The 18,425-nt window shown below is 41.0% G+C and overlaps 1 protein-coding gene across 4 annotated transcripts in view; it reads right to left on the reverse strand.

The window, feature by feature from the left end:
- The window catches only part of SLC9A9 (solute carrier family 9 member A9), a 583,247-nt gene that overhangs the window by 202,127 nt on the left and 362,695 nt on the right, over positions 1-18,425 (reverse strand). The gene's annotated exons all lie outside the window — the stretch shown is intronic.

Genomic DNA, 18,425 nt, shown 5'->3' on the forward strand with positions numbered 1-18,425 from the left:
AAGACACTGTGTACTATTTCTTCAGTTTCCCCTCAATGATATCATGCAAAACTATAGCTCAATATGTCAACCAGAATATTGACATTGATCCAGTCAAGATAAAGAACATTTCTGGCTGGGTGCAGTGGCTCACACTTGTAATCTCAGCACTTTGGGAAGTTGAAGTGGGAAAATCACATGAAGTCAGGCATTCGAGACCAGCCTGGGCAACAAAGCAAGACCCTGTCTCTACAGATTTTTTTTTAAATTAGCCAGGCATGGTGGCATGTGTCTTTAGTCCCAGCTACTCGAAAGGATCACTTAAGCCCAGGAGTTCAAGGCTGCAATGAGCTAGGATTATGCCATCAGTCTGAGTGACAGAATAAGTCCCTGGCTCTAAAGAGAGAGAGAGAGAGAGAGAGAGAGAGAGACAGAAACATTTCCATCACCACAAGGATCCTTCACATTGCCCTTTTATAACCACACCTACTTCCCTCCCACATACTCACTCCTTAATTCCTAACAACCAGTAATCTATTCTCTGTTAGGATGATTTTTGTCATTTCAAGACAGTTATATAAATGGAACCATGCAGTATATAGTCTCTTGGAATTGCCTTTTTTTAACCCAGCAAAAGTTGCTGGATAATCATTCAGGTTGCTGAATTATTGACAGTTGTTCCTTTTTATTACTGAGTAATATTCCACAGTCTGGGTGTTCTACAGTTTGTTTAACCACACGTCTGTTGAAGGGTATCTGAGTTGTTTTCAGTTTTTGGTTATTACAAGAAAGGATGCTAAAATTTACATACAGATTATTGTGTGAACGTAAGTTTTCATTTCCCTGAGATATATGCCCAGGAGTACAATCACTAGGTAGTATAGTATTTGCATATTTAGGTTTTTAAGAAATCACTCAATTGTTTTCCAGAGTGGCTGTAACATTTTACATTCCTACCAGCAATATATAAGTCATCCAATTTCTCTGCCTCCTTGGCAGATTGGTGATTTAACTTCTTCATTGAATTGCTTTTGGAACTCCATCAAAAACCAGCTGGGTATATTTGTGTAGGTCTATTTCTCAGTTCTGTACTTTGTTCCATTGATCTATGTGTCTGTCCTTCTTCTAATAGCACACTGTCTTAATTACTGTAGCTATATAATAAGCCTTAACATTGGGTAGAGTGATTCTGCCCACCTTATTTCTTGTTTTCAAAATTGTTTTAGCTATTCTAGTTATTTTGCATTTCCATAAAATTTTAGAATAATATTGGCTGTATATACAAAAGAAACTTTCTGGGAACAATTACTTTTTAAAAATCAAATGTGTCAGACAACAAAGAAAACTAAGCTTATGGACCACTGAAAATTAAATAATTAAATGACATTTAAAATTACTCCAGAATGATTACATAGTTTTACAAAATCTATAATCTAAACTAGTATATTAAAACCTGTTTTTTCTTATTTTACTTTTTCTTTTGTAATATTATGCTAATTGCATTTTTATGAATCCATATTAAATATATTTGCAAGAAGTATTAAAGATGAAGGGCTGGGCATGGTGGTTCACGCCTGTAATCCCAGCACTTCGGGAGGCCGAGGTGGGCAGATCATGAGGTCAGGAGTTTGAGACCAGCCTGGCCAACATGGTGAAACCCCATCTCTACTAAAAATACAAAAATTAGCTGGGCATAGTGGCGCACACCTATAGTCCCAATTACTTGGGAGGCTGAAGCAGGAGAATTGCTTGAACCTGGGAGGTGGAGGTTGCAGTGAGCTGAGATCGTGCCATTGCACTGCAGCCTGCATGACAGAGTGAGACTTCATCTCAAACAAACAAACAAACAAACAAAAAACAAATACTAGAACTTGAAATCGAAACGTGATGACACTAATAAAAATAGAAATATAGACTTGGAAGAAGAGTAAATAAAAGCACAACTAGCAAAGGAAAGGAGCTAAAATGGAAGGTCTCTCTTGGGTAACACACGACATGCAAGACATTTATAGTCCCTGTTATATTGTGCAATAGGACAAATAAAGATTTATAACGACACCTAGTATAAGCCAAAGAGGTAGTGATTTGGTTATTTTTGTTGAAAGGTTTGAATCATACATATAAAATCTCAATGATCCACTTTTTATAATATTTATTATAGCATCTAGGTTTCTAAATTTCTAAATCTGTATTCGTACATTAAAGGAATTTTAAAAAGTAGACACAGGGCAGAATGAGAAAAACTATAACCATCCTGGTTTTTGTTTCTAGGTTCTCAACTTAGAATATAACGCTCCTTTCTTACCTCCATGCTGAGACTATTCAAGAGACAAGTGGCATAACACAAGAGCCACAGGATTCGACTAGAGAGACTTAATATGTTTTGCCTGAAACAAGGAAATCTCCGAAAGAGAGAAGAACATGCACTCTGATTATAAAATACCTTCAAGGAACAAAATGTAATGGAGGAAGGAAATTATTCTAAATCTCCACGTAGACATGGAAATGGCCTATAGATAAGGAAGATAACATTTGAAGTAGATATTAATAAAAAAGTTCTTACACATCAGAAATTCTGAACACTTGAGATGGCTGTACTCAAGAAAAAAAGGCCCCACCAGAAGTATTTGTGCATTCATACCCAGCTGGGGATAAGAGTGGGGATATTAATAACCCTTAATACTGGTGACTATTTTAATAGTGTTCTCACCAGGAAATACAAATGGGATCATTAGGGAATGAGAACTCAAGGAAACAGTCGTACAATAGACTTCTGTATCTGAGGAGAGAATTTATAGGTCATGGTAAAGCTTCTAGCAGTGTTTAATCATAGTACAAGATTGGAGATAGAAAGTGAACTTTCCGGCTGGGGGAGGGGTGGCTCACACCTGTAATCTCAGCACTTTGGGAGGCTGAGGCGGGTGGTGGATTACCTGAGGTCAGGAATTTGAGACCAGCCTGGCCAACATAGTAAAACCCTGCCTCTACTAAAAATACAAAAAATTAGCTGGGTGTGATGGTGGATGCCTGTAATCCCAGCTACTATGGAGGCTGAGGCAGGAGAATCACTTGAACCTGGGAGGCGGAGGTTTCAGTGAGCCAAGATCGCGCCATTGTACTCCAGCCTGGGCAACAAGAGCGAAATTCTGGCTCAAAAAAAAAAAAAAGAAAAGAAAAAGAAAGTGAACTTTCAAATTTCTCCTTTCCTCAAGCTCATAGTGATAGAAATGTCCATAAAGCAGCACCATGGCAAAGTACGTAACATTAGAAGTATTAGACAATCAGTTGCTAAGTATTAATAGTTCTCATTGATATAAATATTTGTAGTTTTTTAACTTTGTGTCTCTGTGACAAAGACGAGAAACTAGAATACAAATTAAAACTTGCAATAAGATGCCTAGTATCAACTATTTCATGCTGGATATTAAGGGCAAGGAGGTAAGCAATCATTAATCTTACTAAGAATGTTTAATAATGTATTGTTATTATGTTAAACTAGGGCAACTATGCTCTTAAATCTAAATTATCTATACATGAGCAATTCTTGGTTTAAAAATATACTCAAATATATGTTATACTGACTTTTGAAAAAATCTATATCTATATATAGAACATCTATATTTACAGGAGATGCAATGCAGAGATTTCAGAAACAAATGGAAAAGTACAGCCACTATCTCGTGGCAGGTTGAGAAACATTGTTAATCGGGGCCAAACCCCAAGATGTTGAAAAGAGGATGCCTTCTCAATGTTATAACCACCTAAGAAAACATAGATACAGGGTGTTCTTAGAGATGGGATCATCTGTCCATAGCCCTGGTAACATGTGGCACGCACGGCACTGCGGCACTGGAAGCACGGGGCTGAGAATGGTGAGGCTGCCGGGTGGACAAAGTGAAGCTAATGTAGAACTCCAGATGAGGTGGACTATTGTCTATGTCCTACCCATCCTTTGTGACTCTGAAGTTGCTTATCATACATTTGGAGCCTAGATAAATGTGAAACCAATGCTTCATTCATTGATTCATTTAAAGTGTGTGTATTGATTACCTCCTATGTGGAGGCTCTGGACATATTGATCCTATCTTCTTAATGCTATGGTTTTGGGCAATAGAGGATTTTAGGATTGAAATAGATTATTAGGGTACCAGCAAAATACTAAAAATGAAAAATGAATATTGACTTAGGATTTTCTTTTTAGCCAAACATTATTTCCAAAAAACACACACCATTTCTCTTAAAAACTCAAGAAATCTAGAACTTGTCAAAACTTGTGTTTTGTATTGTTTTATGAATACTCTGAGTTTGAGTCTTTGGGTTTTATCTTTCTTTTTCTTTTTGTTTTGGCCAACTAATCAAAATAATTTTATACTTTTGAGGGTCGACAGACTATACCATTTCATTTTAAATGGGTTTACTTTGCAGAGATTTTGACATATTTCATATGCCCAGTTGGAAATTTAGCATCACCTTGGGGAATAAAGGAATTACCTGCAATTAAATGTGGTTTCATTTAAAATTGCCCTCTAAGGGATTCTTATGTTAATTATGTTGATGTTCTATTCATAACAATAGAAAACTATTGAACCAAGGAAAGCTTTCTAGCAAGCACTCGTGCTGCAGAAAATGTGCAGCTTCCTGTTTATCTTCAAAGGGCAAAAGTGAAGCCTTTAATCAATTACAAATTTGCAAATGTGTTCTGAATAGGTGAAGGTCAGACATAACTAAACTTAAATCACAGGAATATAAATATTTCTTAGGGCATCTTGATTTAAGGTGCAAAGCAATAAACTAAAAGCATTTCCTGAGCACTCACTATATGCTAAGCTTTATCCCAGACACAGTACAAGAATGACAGTTTGGCTGCTCTGTTCCAGTGTTCATGGTCCTACAAACATGACTCTTTTAAAAGGTAAACTGTAAGAAGGTGTATTAGAGATGCAAAAGAGGATACTTTGAAAGTATAGTTTGATGAGGAAAAAGATTGCTATACCTCATGAGGGCCCAAATCGTGAGCATCGTCATGAACTGATGTGCAGCATTTAAGGCACTGAAATAAATGGTGAGGCAAAAGAGACCTTTGTGTACATAATTTTCTATGCCCAAATCTTTTTTTCTCATCTAAATTTTCTCAGTTCTTTTCTCCTATAACCCTCATCAAAACTTCACTGAATTCCAAGTTGTCTTCAGAGCTCAAATGAGACACTGTTTTCTCCACAAAGCCTTCTCTGACATCTGGGTCTGGGTTAGGCTGGGTTATATTCCTAACACAATCCCTGTTTGCCCTATCAGAGCCCTTATTACTGTACCTTGCAATTGGCCAGTTCTGTTTAGCTGTGACATCTAAAGCAATACTAAGCACACAGTAGGCACTCAATAACGATTTGTCCAACAAATCAATGAATGGATGAATTTTCTGATTCTTCAATAATGTCTGGTTACATACGGAAAAGTGATTGATACCTCCTAGATTAATGTAATGGTTTCAGAATAGTTTCTACAAGTTCAGTTTCTGCCTTGTTATTATTTATTGAGATCCTTTAAAACCTTATTTTGAGAGTCAAGAGTTCTGGTATCTGCCCTCAGGCCTGCCCCACAGGCTGCATGACCATAAGCAGGTTACCTCATCTAGATTTCTGTTACCTCATCTCCAAATGGAGGTTTACAACTAGACTTGTGTTTTTTTTTTTTTCACTAGAAGTGCACATCAGAATCACGTGGAACTTAAAAATATATGTAGTCACTCACGCCAGCATCCCGACTAGAGATTCTGATGCAGCAGAGGACGAGGTATATGAGAGCCCAGCTCCTCTCATTTCCCACTGCACCACCTTGGCCTAAGACCCATCTCACAACCTGCCTGTGCCCCGAACCACTCTCTGGTCTTGGCCTCAAGCCTCTATTCTCTTCTTCTTCCAGTCCATCTTGTTGATGTTCCTCAGAACAGCTTCCTCAAAACCTAGCTTTATGAGGTCACGATTCAACTCAGCAAGAAGAACCCAGTAGCTTCCCACAGCCCAGAGATACCTCTCACTCAGAACCCCACCCTACTTTTCCTGTTTACTTCCTCTTCTCCATTGAGAACTTCCATAAGCAAGGCAGGTTTCTCTCCTCCCATAAATGACTGTTATCCCCACCTCTGTGCCATGGCCTCACCATTAATTTCTTGCTTCAGTGCTGGATTTCTGCCTTTCCTTTGTGCTTCTCCAAACTTCACCCATTTGAACGATCTTTCTTCCCTCATCCCACTCCTATGAAGTTTTCCTGGAATACTTTAGTCCACTTTGTTCTCTCTTTCTTAGAAATCTAATGAAACATACTGCCCATGCCACTTGTATTATTAAATCATAGTCTGAAATGAATCAGTACTTTAATGTGGTCTTTTTCTCCGACTCCCAATTTTTTAGAAGTTTGGAGTTATATCTCCTTACATAGTTCTTATGTCTTTCATAATACCCAGAACACAAAACTCTGTAAATGCTTTCAAATCGAACTACTGTAGTGGTTTCAGGCCCTCTAGATATGGGATGGTGATATTCATATATTCATTCACTGATTAATTCATTCAGGCTCCAGGTGATAGTGGCAAACAAGACCTTAATTTAAAGGTGTTTCTAGGTTGATTATGTCAGGTGGTATGAAGAAAACCAAAGTAGGGTAAGGGGACAGAGAGTATTTATATGTGAGGGGAGGGATGTTAGCATGGTTAGGAAAGCCTCTCTGGTTAGGTGACATTTGAGCAGAGAACCTAATAGAGGGAGAAGCCATCTGGGTATCTGGAGGAAAATCATTCTAGGCTTCGGGAATAGTAGGTGCAAAATCCTGAGGCAGGCCAATGCCTGGTGTGCTTAAGCTGTGGCAAGGAGGCTGGTGTGATGGGAGCAGGATAAACAGGGTGGAGCTGGGAGGCAGTGGAAGGAGATAATGCCAGAGAGGTGACATAGCCAAATCATACTGGGCTTTTGAATAGCAAGGCTTTTGAATTTTATTTTGAGATAGTAAACTTTAGGAAGGTTTTAATGCAAGATAGTGATAGGATCTGTTCTATGCTTAAAAACTCTGACTCTGATAGGAAAACAGGTTGCTGATAGGAGGCCAGTGAGGAGGCTGCCTTGTTAGTCCAGGCGAGAAGTGAATGCAGATCAGACCACTGATGATAGCACGGCAGGTGCTGAATGTATGTCAAAGGTTGATGTTTGTTGATGGGTCAGATGAGGGGTATGAGAGGAGAACTCAGCCCTGGAAGAATTGGGGAAGCCCAGGGGAAGAGCATGTCTGGGTGTATAAGGGCGATCAAGGGTTGTGTTCCCGCTTTATTACATCTGAGCTGCCTATTAGTCTTCCAAGCAGAGAGGCTGAGTGAGTGATTAGATATGAGTGTGGAGTTCAGGGGAAAGGTTAGGATCTTTTACTGAAGAGAGTAGAAAGATATGAGGATAGTTGGAAGCTTGAAAAATGTAGGAAGATGAAGTTTATTTTGAACCAGGTTTGTTCTTGCCTTGAGGCCTTTGTACTTGCAGCTTTTCCCACCTGCAGTGCTCCCCTGAGTCATCCCTTGGCTGTGCCCATCATCTCAGTCCTCAGAAAGGCTGCCCTGACCATCAGACCTAAGTGCTCTCACCTTCACCCAGGTTTTTTTTTTTTTTTTTGAGACAGAGTCTTGCTCTGTTGCCCAGGCTGGAGTGCAGTGGCACGATCTCAGCTCACTGTAACCTCCGCCTCCTGGGTTCAAGTGATTCCCTTGCCTCAGCCTCCTGAGTAGCTGGGACTACAGGCAAACACTACCACACCTGGCTCATTTTTTTTTTTTTTTTGTATTTTAGTAGAGACAGGGTTTCACCATGTTGGTCAGGATGGTTTCGATTTCCTGACTCTGTGATCTACCCGCCTCGGCCTCCCAAAGTGCTGGGATTACAGGCGTGAGCCACTGTGCCTGGCCGTTTGTTTTTCATTGCACTGATCACCATCGGAAATGATCTTGTTTATATTCTGGTCTTTAAGATCTGTCTTTCTGTGCTGGAAAGTACGCTTGGTAAGAGCTGACCTCTGGTTTGCTGCCTCTGCTGTGGCATTTCCAGAGCTAGATGGCACCTCTTATAGGGTAGGTGCTCTGCAAGCAATGGATGAATCCATAAGTGAATGGATAAGAGGAGGTCATTTTTGTGTTTAAAAGTACAATTAGAGGCCGGGTGCAGTGGCTCATGCCTGTAATCCCAGCACTTTGGGAGGCCAAGGCGGGTGGATCACGAGGTCAGGAGATCGAGACCATCCTGGCTAACACGGTGAAACCCCGTCTCTACTACAAGTACAAAAAATTAGCTGGGCGTGGTGGTGAATGCCTGTAGTCCCAGGTACTCGGGAGGCTGAGGCAGGAGAATGGCATGAACCTGGGAGGCAGAGCTTGCAGTAAGCTGAGGTTGCGCCACTGCACTCCAGCCTGGGCGACAGAGCGAGACTCCATCTCAAAAAAAAAAAAAAAGTACAATTGGAACCCAAAAGAAAATGAGCAGTAGATGGACAGGGATGAGAACTGTCCCTGATAAATGGATCTATCCTTTAAAAGAAAAGTCCTTTAGATGCATTATTTTGCTGCCTGTCTTTCCATTTGGGACATAATCCATTGCAATTCCTTTTTTTCCCCTTTCACTTCAAATACTCTGAAGAAGTTGATTTAAAAGATTTAATACAGTCTTATTATCAATCTGTTAAATCAAACCCTGGTTTGGGTCTAGAATTGAATTACATTTCGTTTTTACCCCTAATGGAATCCTGTGACTTTGCAAAGTGTACCTACTTTAAGCAAAAATGCCAGTCTGATTTCAAAATGTTCCAGGATAATGCAATCTTGCTACGTGGTTCCATTTTCAGTTCAACATCATTTTATCACATGGAAGTGAAGCCAACAGATTGTTTTCAGTAGGAAAATCTTCTGCATTCAAAAATAAATTGAGTTCTTCTGGAAACTAAGCCTGTGTTAGACAAGTAGAGCTTTCCCTCGTCTCTCTTCCTGAATTTGAATCATTTAAACTTAAGGCTACTAAGAAGAAATGTGATATAACTTCTGTGTATTTTTATGTAAAGAGAAGTTTGTTTTTAGAAGCCCTGGGTAGCCAGAAAGGGTAATTGTAAATAGGATTAGCTCTGTCACAACTCTGAAGTCAACAAGCATAGATGCCTCTGGCTTTGGAAGTTTGTTTTTACGTGGGTAAGATGGATGTAATAGTAAACTGCGGAATAATCAGAATAATCCTCATTACTAGCTGAAATCTTCAACAGAGAGTTTCAGGAGAAAGGCTAACATAGATCGGAAGAAAGTCAACATTCTGGGAGTAGTACCCAACTTATGGGCAGCTTGTGTTCCAAAGATCAATTTATCAATTTTCTGTTTAGGTCAGTGTTTTCTTTTAACTGGAGTGATTTTGATCCCTAGGGAATATATGGCACTGTCTGGAGATAGTTCTCATTGTCCACAAAGTAGGAGGGAGGAGTGGGGAGGCAAAGGTGCTACTATTATCCAGTTGGTAGAAGCCAGGGATGCTGTTAAACATTCTGCAATGTTCAAGACAGTCTCCACAACAAAGAATTATCTGCCCCAAATGTCCATAGTTGCTGGGGTTGAGGAAACCTAGCATAAGTTTCCAATTTGGATCTGGAATTGCTTTTTCCCATGTGACATTATAAATAATGACAATATTCCTACTGCAGAGGGGTATTTTGGCAAATATGGCTATCTATCCACCAAAATCTATTCTTATATATTCCATGATGTACTGTTATAACTTCATAAACTATATTTTCTATAGCAGCTCTTGCAGCTAGGTACAGCCACGTGACTGGTTCTGACCAGTAAAATGAGAGCAGAAATGGTGTGAGTCACTTCTGGTCCAAGGCTTTTAAGCAGCAGCTTCTTATCCTTGGCTTTCTTTCTCCTTTCACCAGCTGCAAATCATGAAGTGGTTCCCAAACATAAGCTATATCAAAATCACCTGAAGGGCTTCTTCAATTTTTTTTTTTTTTTTTCCCCCTCCCCCCGCCGCCCCCTCCCGCCACCCAGATTTCAGGGCTCTATTCTGAGAGTGTCTGACTCAGGAGGTTCGTGGTAGGTCTGAGAAGCTGCATTTCTGACAAGCTGCCAGGTGATGCCAAGACTGCTGCTCCATGGACCACACTTCTAGAATCCTTGTCTTAGGGAGTTCTGAAGTCGTAAGATGGAAGCAGCCTTGTTATATTTGAATCACCGCCTGTAGGAGGGGCATCCCCCAAACCCCACCCAGTTCCATTGTTACATCAACCCTGGCTTGTGACATGAGCCAGAAAGCAATGGCTACTGTGATTAAACTGTTGAAGTTTGGGAGTCTGTGTGTCACAGAAGCTTATATTATCCTATGGTTCTGCGTCAACCTATGCAATGTGTCTCTGTAGAATCACAGACTATTTTTTAACAGCTGAGGAAGCAGGTGCTGGGAGAGCACCTATCCCAGGTTATCCCTATTGACTCACCTGTGACAAAGCACAAAAATCATAGTTAGAGTAAGAATGTGAGTTCTAAGGACAGTTGAAGAAAATCTCCTTCGGCTTCCCTAGGCAAAGGGTCAATCCCAGGCAATGTGTTCAGCGGGTGTTCAGCCTCTTGCCCACTCCCTAACTTTCTGTGGCTTTCTCTCGCTCTAGCTCTGCCCCTTTCTCCAGCATCACTGGCACTTGGGGCCTTCATTTGGCTCCAAGTTCTCCCCAAGCCACCCTAATCTAAAGTGATGTTTTTGACTCTCCAGTGGAAACTTCCATCTCCTTGGGCAGCCAGAATGAGCTTCATGCCAGGAAGAAGGCAATTGGAAGAAATCTGTTAAGGAAGGGTAGCTCACAATCCTTCCTGAGAGGAGTGCATTTTAAATACTTGTTAACACACATGCTTTCACTTCGACTTGTGGCATTTAAAACAGCTTCAAGAAAGTGCAGTGAAATGTTTCAGCCACTGTAGGAAATGTGGTGCGAGTGACCAGGTTCCTCTAAAAGGAGGGGAAGCCTGTGAATGACAGGCAGGGCACACACTTGCCCTGGGGTCTCCTCCTTCCCTCACATGGAACCCCCAGTTCTCGAAGGTGCTTCTGGAGCAGTCTTCCAGGCAGAGTCAGCAGGAGGCTGGGAGGTGGGGCTAGGATCCTGCCCTACTCACAGAGGCTTGGTCAGTCTGGGAAGGACTTGGCTGACAAAGCAGCATTTGAACCTCTCCAATATATCAGAACTAATGATGAAAATTCTTAAATTCCTTAATGACCCTATGGATGGATACTTAGCACAAGGCATTTTAAAGTGTAACTGCTTCTTGCTCATTTGCACATATAATTTATTTGAGTCAATCTTATTGACTTCTTTTGAACTCTATCCACAAAACCTGAGGGCAGAATTAGAGGGATTTGTGCCTGGCACAGATAGACTAATTTTTTGAACATGGTTTGCTTGTGTTAATAGTTTTCTAAGGTTTCGTCTACCCAATGCCAACACAAGCAAGCAATTAATAAATAAATTCAGGCAGAATACAGGGAAAATAATGTAGTCTATTTGTTTGCCTCTGTGGACATGTTAATTTGGTTAAAACTATCAGATACTTGTGATATCTGTGACACTTTGGATATCCTAAAAATCTAAATGTACACAGAAGGCTCCTGAACACAGGGAGAGGTGACACACATTCTGGACTGTCTCCTTTTATTACTCAGTTCTCTCAGAGGCTGGCATGTTCCTGTTGTCTGCACCACCTCAATACGTAGGACGGTCTGATTATCCACAAGATCTCGCTAGTGTTTCACACTCAATAAATGTCTAAGCAGATTGTGACAATTTATATGTGTGAACTTGTTGGGGTGGGGGCACAATATATTTTACTCACAGTAACTGGTATTTTGAGTCGCAACATTTTTTATTTGTTTATTTTTATTTTTAGAGACAGGGTCTCACTCTTGCCCAGGCTGGAGTGCAGTGTGTGATCATAGTTCACTGCAGCCTCCCACTCCTGGGTTCAAGTGGTCTTCCCAACCTCAGCCTCCTGAGTAGCTGGGAGCCCAGGTGAGCACCACCTCCCCTGCCTAATTAAAAAAAAATTTTTTTTGTAGAGATGGGGTCTTGTTTTGTTGCCCAGGCTGGTCTCAAACTCCTGGCCTCAAGCAATCCTCCCACTTTAGCCTCCTGAAGTGCTGGGATTATAGGTGTGAGCCAACATGCCAGGCTTGAGTTACATGTTTTGTTTCATGTATTGATGCCAGGAGTAAGTCACTGCTGGAACTAAAAGTAAAATATCAATGATTGTCCTTAAATGGAGGGAAGAGAGCAGGAGCCATGGGCCTTTGTCTTTTACAGGGATGTCACTAATGATTGTCCTTAAATGGAGAGAGGAGAGCAGGAGCCATGGGCCTTTGTCTTCTACAGGGATGTCACTAGCCCTTAGCTTTTACCTCAGGCTGTCCTCAGCAGTGATTTGACAGTCAAACCTTCTTTGGAATAAAACTCTCAGTCTCTGATAGAATGTTTTCATGACACCAGGTGTGAGATTGAGTCCTATCTCTATGAAAGCACTAAAGGCTGTCTTGTCATCTCTGGTGGTTAAAGAAAGTAAAAGAAACTCCCATTGTGAGTATCTCCTAGGTGGTAGTCCCTGTGCCAGGCATATTTTACATGTAGATTCTAGTTTGGTTTTCAACACTGACCATTTAAGGTAAGTATTAATATCCCCATTTTACAGCCTAGGGCACTGAGGTTTGAACGGGTTTAATCACACAGTTCCAGGTGGCTGAGCCAGCTTCAAAGCCTGAATTCACTGTACTTCATCAAAACAGTAGTTCCCATCTAAAAAATATTGTGGTGTGCCAAATAGCAAAACCTAACTGGCTGGTTAAAAATGCAAGAGCAGGTAATTTTTATCGTAAATTTATTCTGGAGCAAAGTGAAGAATGATAATGCTTGGACTTAATAATGGGAGAAAACAAGTGTATGGGGCAGGCCACAGTTCTAAGCTATTTCTCAGATATTCTGAATTCATCATAATCACATAACCTTTTCTCAGCATTGGAGACTGTGAGGACTTAATGGGATCTGCAATTCATATGGGTCTACTATACTTGTCTGCTTCGTCACAGCAATGCTGCTTGTGGTTATTCATTATCCGAGATGACTTTTCCTTGTGATTGCTTGACACAGTTGTTAAAACATTTTTTTTGTGGCTCATTTCCTGCATAAGCTGGTTAACCCTATCCCATCTGGAGACCTCAGAAGACCTACTCCCATAGCTTTGCTCACTAATGCCTGCTCCAAGCTGCGTGGGGCACCACCTGGGAGAGATGAGGGCTTGGTGGAAGTTCGTCTTCTTAAATGGAGAAAGTCCTGACCTCTGCCCGGTTAGCTGTTAGTGGCCTTGTACTGGTGAGGAAGAGGCAGTGGCATAATTAAAGACACAAATATGCCTAGGGTAGGAAGGAGATGTAGCATGGGAAGGTAAAAGAACACTGGACTCTAGGCAAAGGGGCTGCAAAGAGGTAAGCTTGGACAAAGGATTCCTGACAGTGTGATGGTATCAAATGGGCTAAATCAAGGGAGGGAAGGAAAGAAAAGTCCAGCTTTTAGAGGAGCCCAGACTCTCAGCTAACTCTTGTAGATAAATTTAAAGAAATCTTTTTTCCTAAGCTGAAGTTGAGTTTAGCCTGATTCTTGACTGAGTGAAATGTACAACTTTAGTTGGGTATATCATTCATTCACCTATTTATATACCAAATATTTATAGAAGCCTACTCACCTTCAAGTAGCGTGCTGGGTGCTTAGGTGTAGAGATAAGCATTTTGGATTCACTAAGCTTCCAGTCTAGAGGGAGTATGGGCAGGCAAACTAAAAATCATGGTACAGCTTGATGACTACTAGGGGAGGAGAAGTATTGGGTGCTATGGAAACAGATGAGAATGATACAAACCCAGACCAGAGAAGTTACAAAGGCTTGTTATCAGAAGGGATGTCTAAACTGAGATCCAAAGAATGAAACAAATAAAGTGAGTGAGGGTGGGTGGATGTGGAAAGGGTTCCAGGCATAAGGAGAGCCTGAGTGAATAGGGAGGAAGACCTTAGCATGCTGAAGGAACCACAAGAAATTCAATAACTAGATAAGCAGCATTATGCTGATCAGATGGCAAATGGAAGAACAAGAGGCAAGGCTGGCATCTAGGAGGGTCTAAAGCCAAACAGAATGAGATGGGAGAAATGTATTGAAGAGAGAGGTTCAGAAGAAAAACCATGAATTGAGATTATGTTCTGAAACATGCTTCTCAAACTTCCATGTGCACATGAATTACCTAGGGATCTGTTAGAATGCAGATTTGGATTCAGGGCTTCTAATAAGCTTCTAAGGGATGCCATAGCTGCTGGCCTAAGGACCACACTTTTGGATATCAAGGATCAAGACAGCATGGAAGTGTCCCCTTTACATGGGGACTGGTAATTACTGTGGGACGGTCCTGGTAGCTTAATGGAGTTCCATTAGCCTGGATAGTCATAGACATGGATTCTTATTTCTAGGCACTGCTGAAACAATGACCTTGGTTCTTCACTTGAGTTCCATTTATGTTTCCTTTCTGGCTGTCATTGATGTCTGCTGGATAAGGTCACTTTGGGATCAAAGTGTCAAATTGGATTCTCACCATGGCTTGATCAGTTGGTCACCCAAAAGACACTGGGAAAGGTGGTCTACACCTTGGCAGGGGCTCTTAAAAACTGTGCTTCTATAGAACACTGGGGTTCCATGAGCTGCAGAACAGTGCTCCACAAAACTTGAGTAGCAATGGCAGCCTTTTCACAACTGAGAGGGGAAAAAATACATGTTCATGAAAAAATTTTCTTAAAGTTTGTCTTCCATGCCTTTTTCTTAATCCTTTGGTGTCAGCAGCTATTTGAATGTGAACGAGTGCTAGTGCACAACAAAATGAGTCAGGAACATTAATAGCACAGCTTGGCAACAGTTAGTGCTGCTGTTTCATGGTTATGTGAGCTCATGGATGAAGTTTTGTATAAATCCATGTACTGTGGTGACATTTTACCGGTTAAAACTTCTCGTAGTTTTTGTGATAGGACATATTGGGGTTTCAATGCCTTCTCAAAAGTGCAGCAGAAGTCAATGAATTTGAGAAACAGTGTTCGCTGACATATCATCTGGCTCCTACAACCTTCCCAGGTGCTTTCCTAAACTCCCTCCTTGTTAGACAAGCTCAGCAGCTCTGCACCCTGGCTCTTTAGCTCAGGAGTTCACAGTACCCAAGTCACAGTGGTTTCAGGAAGGCTGCCAGGGCTAAGTTGGGCTTGGCATTTCCCCTCCTTCCAGCAACTCCTGGTTCTTATTTAGTTTTAAATTAAATAAAAATTGCAGCACATAGATTTGAGTTAAAACAAGTGGACTGATCTTTGTAATATGCACCACATCAACAGGAAAGCTAATTTGTGCAAAGCACATCTCCTCCTTTAATTTAAACAACAGAGTGTTGCCTTTTTGGTTTCAAGGGAACTGAGAGCTGAGGCGGGGTTGTTCACTCGTGGCATTAACTAGGGCTATGCTCAAGGGCAAGAGGAACAGTTTCAGGGGCGCTTAGCATTCCTCTTAAGCCCTTTGTGCTGAGTGTCACACGATATAGCAGAGCAGTTATGACCTCCTGGCCTTGAATTTAAAGAAGGTCTTAAAAATGTCTCAGGGTAAGCTCCCCTAATCAACTCTTAACTGCATTGGAGACACCCAGATCAGAATTTGCATTATTAAAAACTTCTCAAGACAGAGGAGACAGATTCCTGACGTTGACACCCATGTGGCATTTTCATGTTCCTAGTCGTCATGTGTGTAGACGATTAGTCTACAGAAAGTAAATCAGGTGGGATTCATGCCAGGTGAGAAATTCAGTGTGGACCCTGATAGTCACTTCATTCAGTTTCATTGGCTTTAGAGGTAATGGGTGGAGGTGGGGGTGGAGTGTGGCAGTAGGGTCATCCATGAACAATGTGAGCTTTACTCAAAAACATTACTGAACTGGATCCATCTACATAGCTTCAAGCTCTTGCTTCAATGCTCACTAAAGGCCTTTCTCACCACCATGAGATGAGTCAGAAGTAGCTAAATCTTTCTTAAACTGTCACCTCCAGGTGCATCCAGATTTGGAGGCAGGTCTGCCTCAGGTTTTGTGGGGCCTGAAGCTTATAAATTTTGAGGCCTTTTTAAAGAAAAATAATACAAAATATCTTACTTATGCAAACTTTATATGCTCATCAGAACACACTGGTAGGGCTCCTCTCAGGATCTTGGACAGGGCCACGTGAAAGGGATCCTAAAGCTTAAGTTTATTAACTTCACAGAGAATCCACTTCTGCTTGGAAAGCTTCTCTGCCCAGTGCCAAAAAGGCATTAAGAAGTTGAGGGTAAAGAAAATGGACAACCATTTATCATATGGTAGGTGTCACTGACCAAGACAGAAATTTTAGGTTCTTATTTGATCTTTGAACCCCTGAGGTGTGCTGCCTTACTGAATCAAACCTGAGCCAAGCCCAGCTTTCTCTTAAGGGCAGGGCCCTCATCTTTGTCTTGTTCGCACAAATACCTACCCAAGAAAGTGCATCAATAAATGTCTGCTGAATGAATGACTATCTGGATGACTGTGAATGAGGAAATATAGAAATAAATTCACACTCCTTTTTTAGACTGAGTGTCATTGTTTACCTTCTCCAAAGAACTCTTTGCAAAATGTTTTGAGCTATGTGAAGAAAGGCTTCATCTAAACTTATTCATGAAGCAGGCCAACTAGATTGTGTCAGAGGGCTACTAAAGTCATTCTCTTATTGGATGAAAAAATACTCTAGTCATAATTAAGAAACATTAAACTATATTTATAATCAAATATTCTTTAAGGGGATTGGCTTTTTCTTCTGGGTTGAGTGGGTTTTGCTCTCACGCACCCAGAAAAGGCCAGACAGTGTGTTGTTTGATCTATTTTGTTAACCTTCTCCTCTGGCTTATGTTACCTTAAGTTGACCTTTCAAGTGCTTTGTCTTCTGGCAAATATATTTAAAACTTTAGGACCTAAGTAATGTATAGCTATCAGAATTCATGCAGAAAATCAAAGCTGAGTCTGGAGCATTCTCTTTTGAAGAGAAATACCACCCTGCGTGTGATGACCTCACCTGATTCATCACCTGATACCTGATGGGGGTCAATGGGTGCAGAGAAGATCCTGAGCCTAGGGCTGGGAGCGGGTGTTGTCCACATATTGGCTTTGCTGTGAACTGGATGGGGGTCAGGTTTGCATGAGGGACATGTTAGACATGCTGGGGTTGGCCTGGATTAGAAAGGACATGATTTTGATTTAACTTTTGTTCTCATGACTTTGAAGGTAAATCTGAGGTTGTGTCATGTAGATGAGAAGTTTCTAAGTTCAAAGTCGAGAGGCCTGGGTTCAACTCAGGGTTAAGAGATTGTGAGCAAGATACACAAACTCCCCATGTCTCATTGTTATTATTTTTTAATCTGTAAAAAGAGACCAATAATGGGATGCTGGGAACATGGTAGAGTAGGAAGTACCAGAAATTTGTTTCCCTACCTAGACAACTATTACACTGGCAGAATTTGTATGATGTAACTATTTTGGAATTCTGGAGTATATTGAAGGATTGCAACTTCTAGGAGAAGGCTTGGGAAGTAATTGTGGTTTATTTTGGTCAATTATAGTTCTTAGCATAGTAGCAAGTCTTCCAACCTTCACCCTTCAGCCCTGTGGCAGGCAGCTGTGCCAAGTGTTCCTGGAGCAGCTTGCAAACTGTTTGCAGGAGCCGGGGTGAGCAAAAAGGACTCTGTTCTCCAAATATCAAAAATCTGTGTTCTGATCACTGATGCTGGTTCTGATCAAAGAGATGCAGACAAAATCGCCACCATTGTTGTTGCACCTCCCCTTACTGGGAAGCTCCTCCCCTTGGCTGAAGTGATTGTCAGGAGATTTAAAGGGCCAGGACCCTTTTAATTTTTTTCACCTTCGATTTTCTTTTTCTCCACCTTCGATTTTCTTTTTCTCCTTTTGGGGGCCTGACATTAAATATTAGGTCATTAAAAAATAACTACATACACAGAGAAATTAGGAGGTGACTTTGCAAGCCCAAGGAAAGGCATGGACTTAGAAAAGACCTGAGGAGACCTTATGTTTCTATCTCAGGCTGATTCCCAGAACAGAGACAGTCTACAACAACAAAATTAACAAGAATAAACAAACAAACAAACAAAAACCCAAATCCAGAAAACCCTGGGAAAGGGGAAATTTGCTTTCCAGAGTTACCATAATATTAGACTCAAATGTCAAGTTTTTAACAAAAAATCACAAGGTATACAGAGAAACAGGATAGTATGGCCATTCAAAGTAAAAAAAATAACAGAAACTATCCCTGAAAAA

The sequence above is a fragment of the Homo sapiens genome, chromosome 3 (genome assembly GCF_000001405.40).
Source record: "Homo sapiens chromosome 3, GRCh38.p14 Primary Assembly".
NCBI classification, from domain to species: Eukaryota; Metazoa; Chordata; class Mammalia; order Primates; family Hominidae; genus Homo; species Homo sapiens.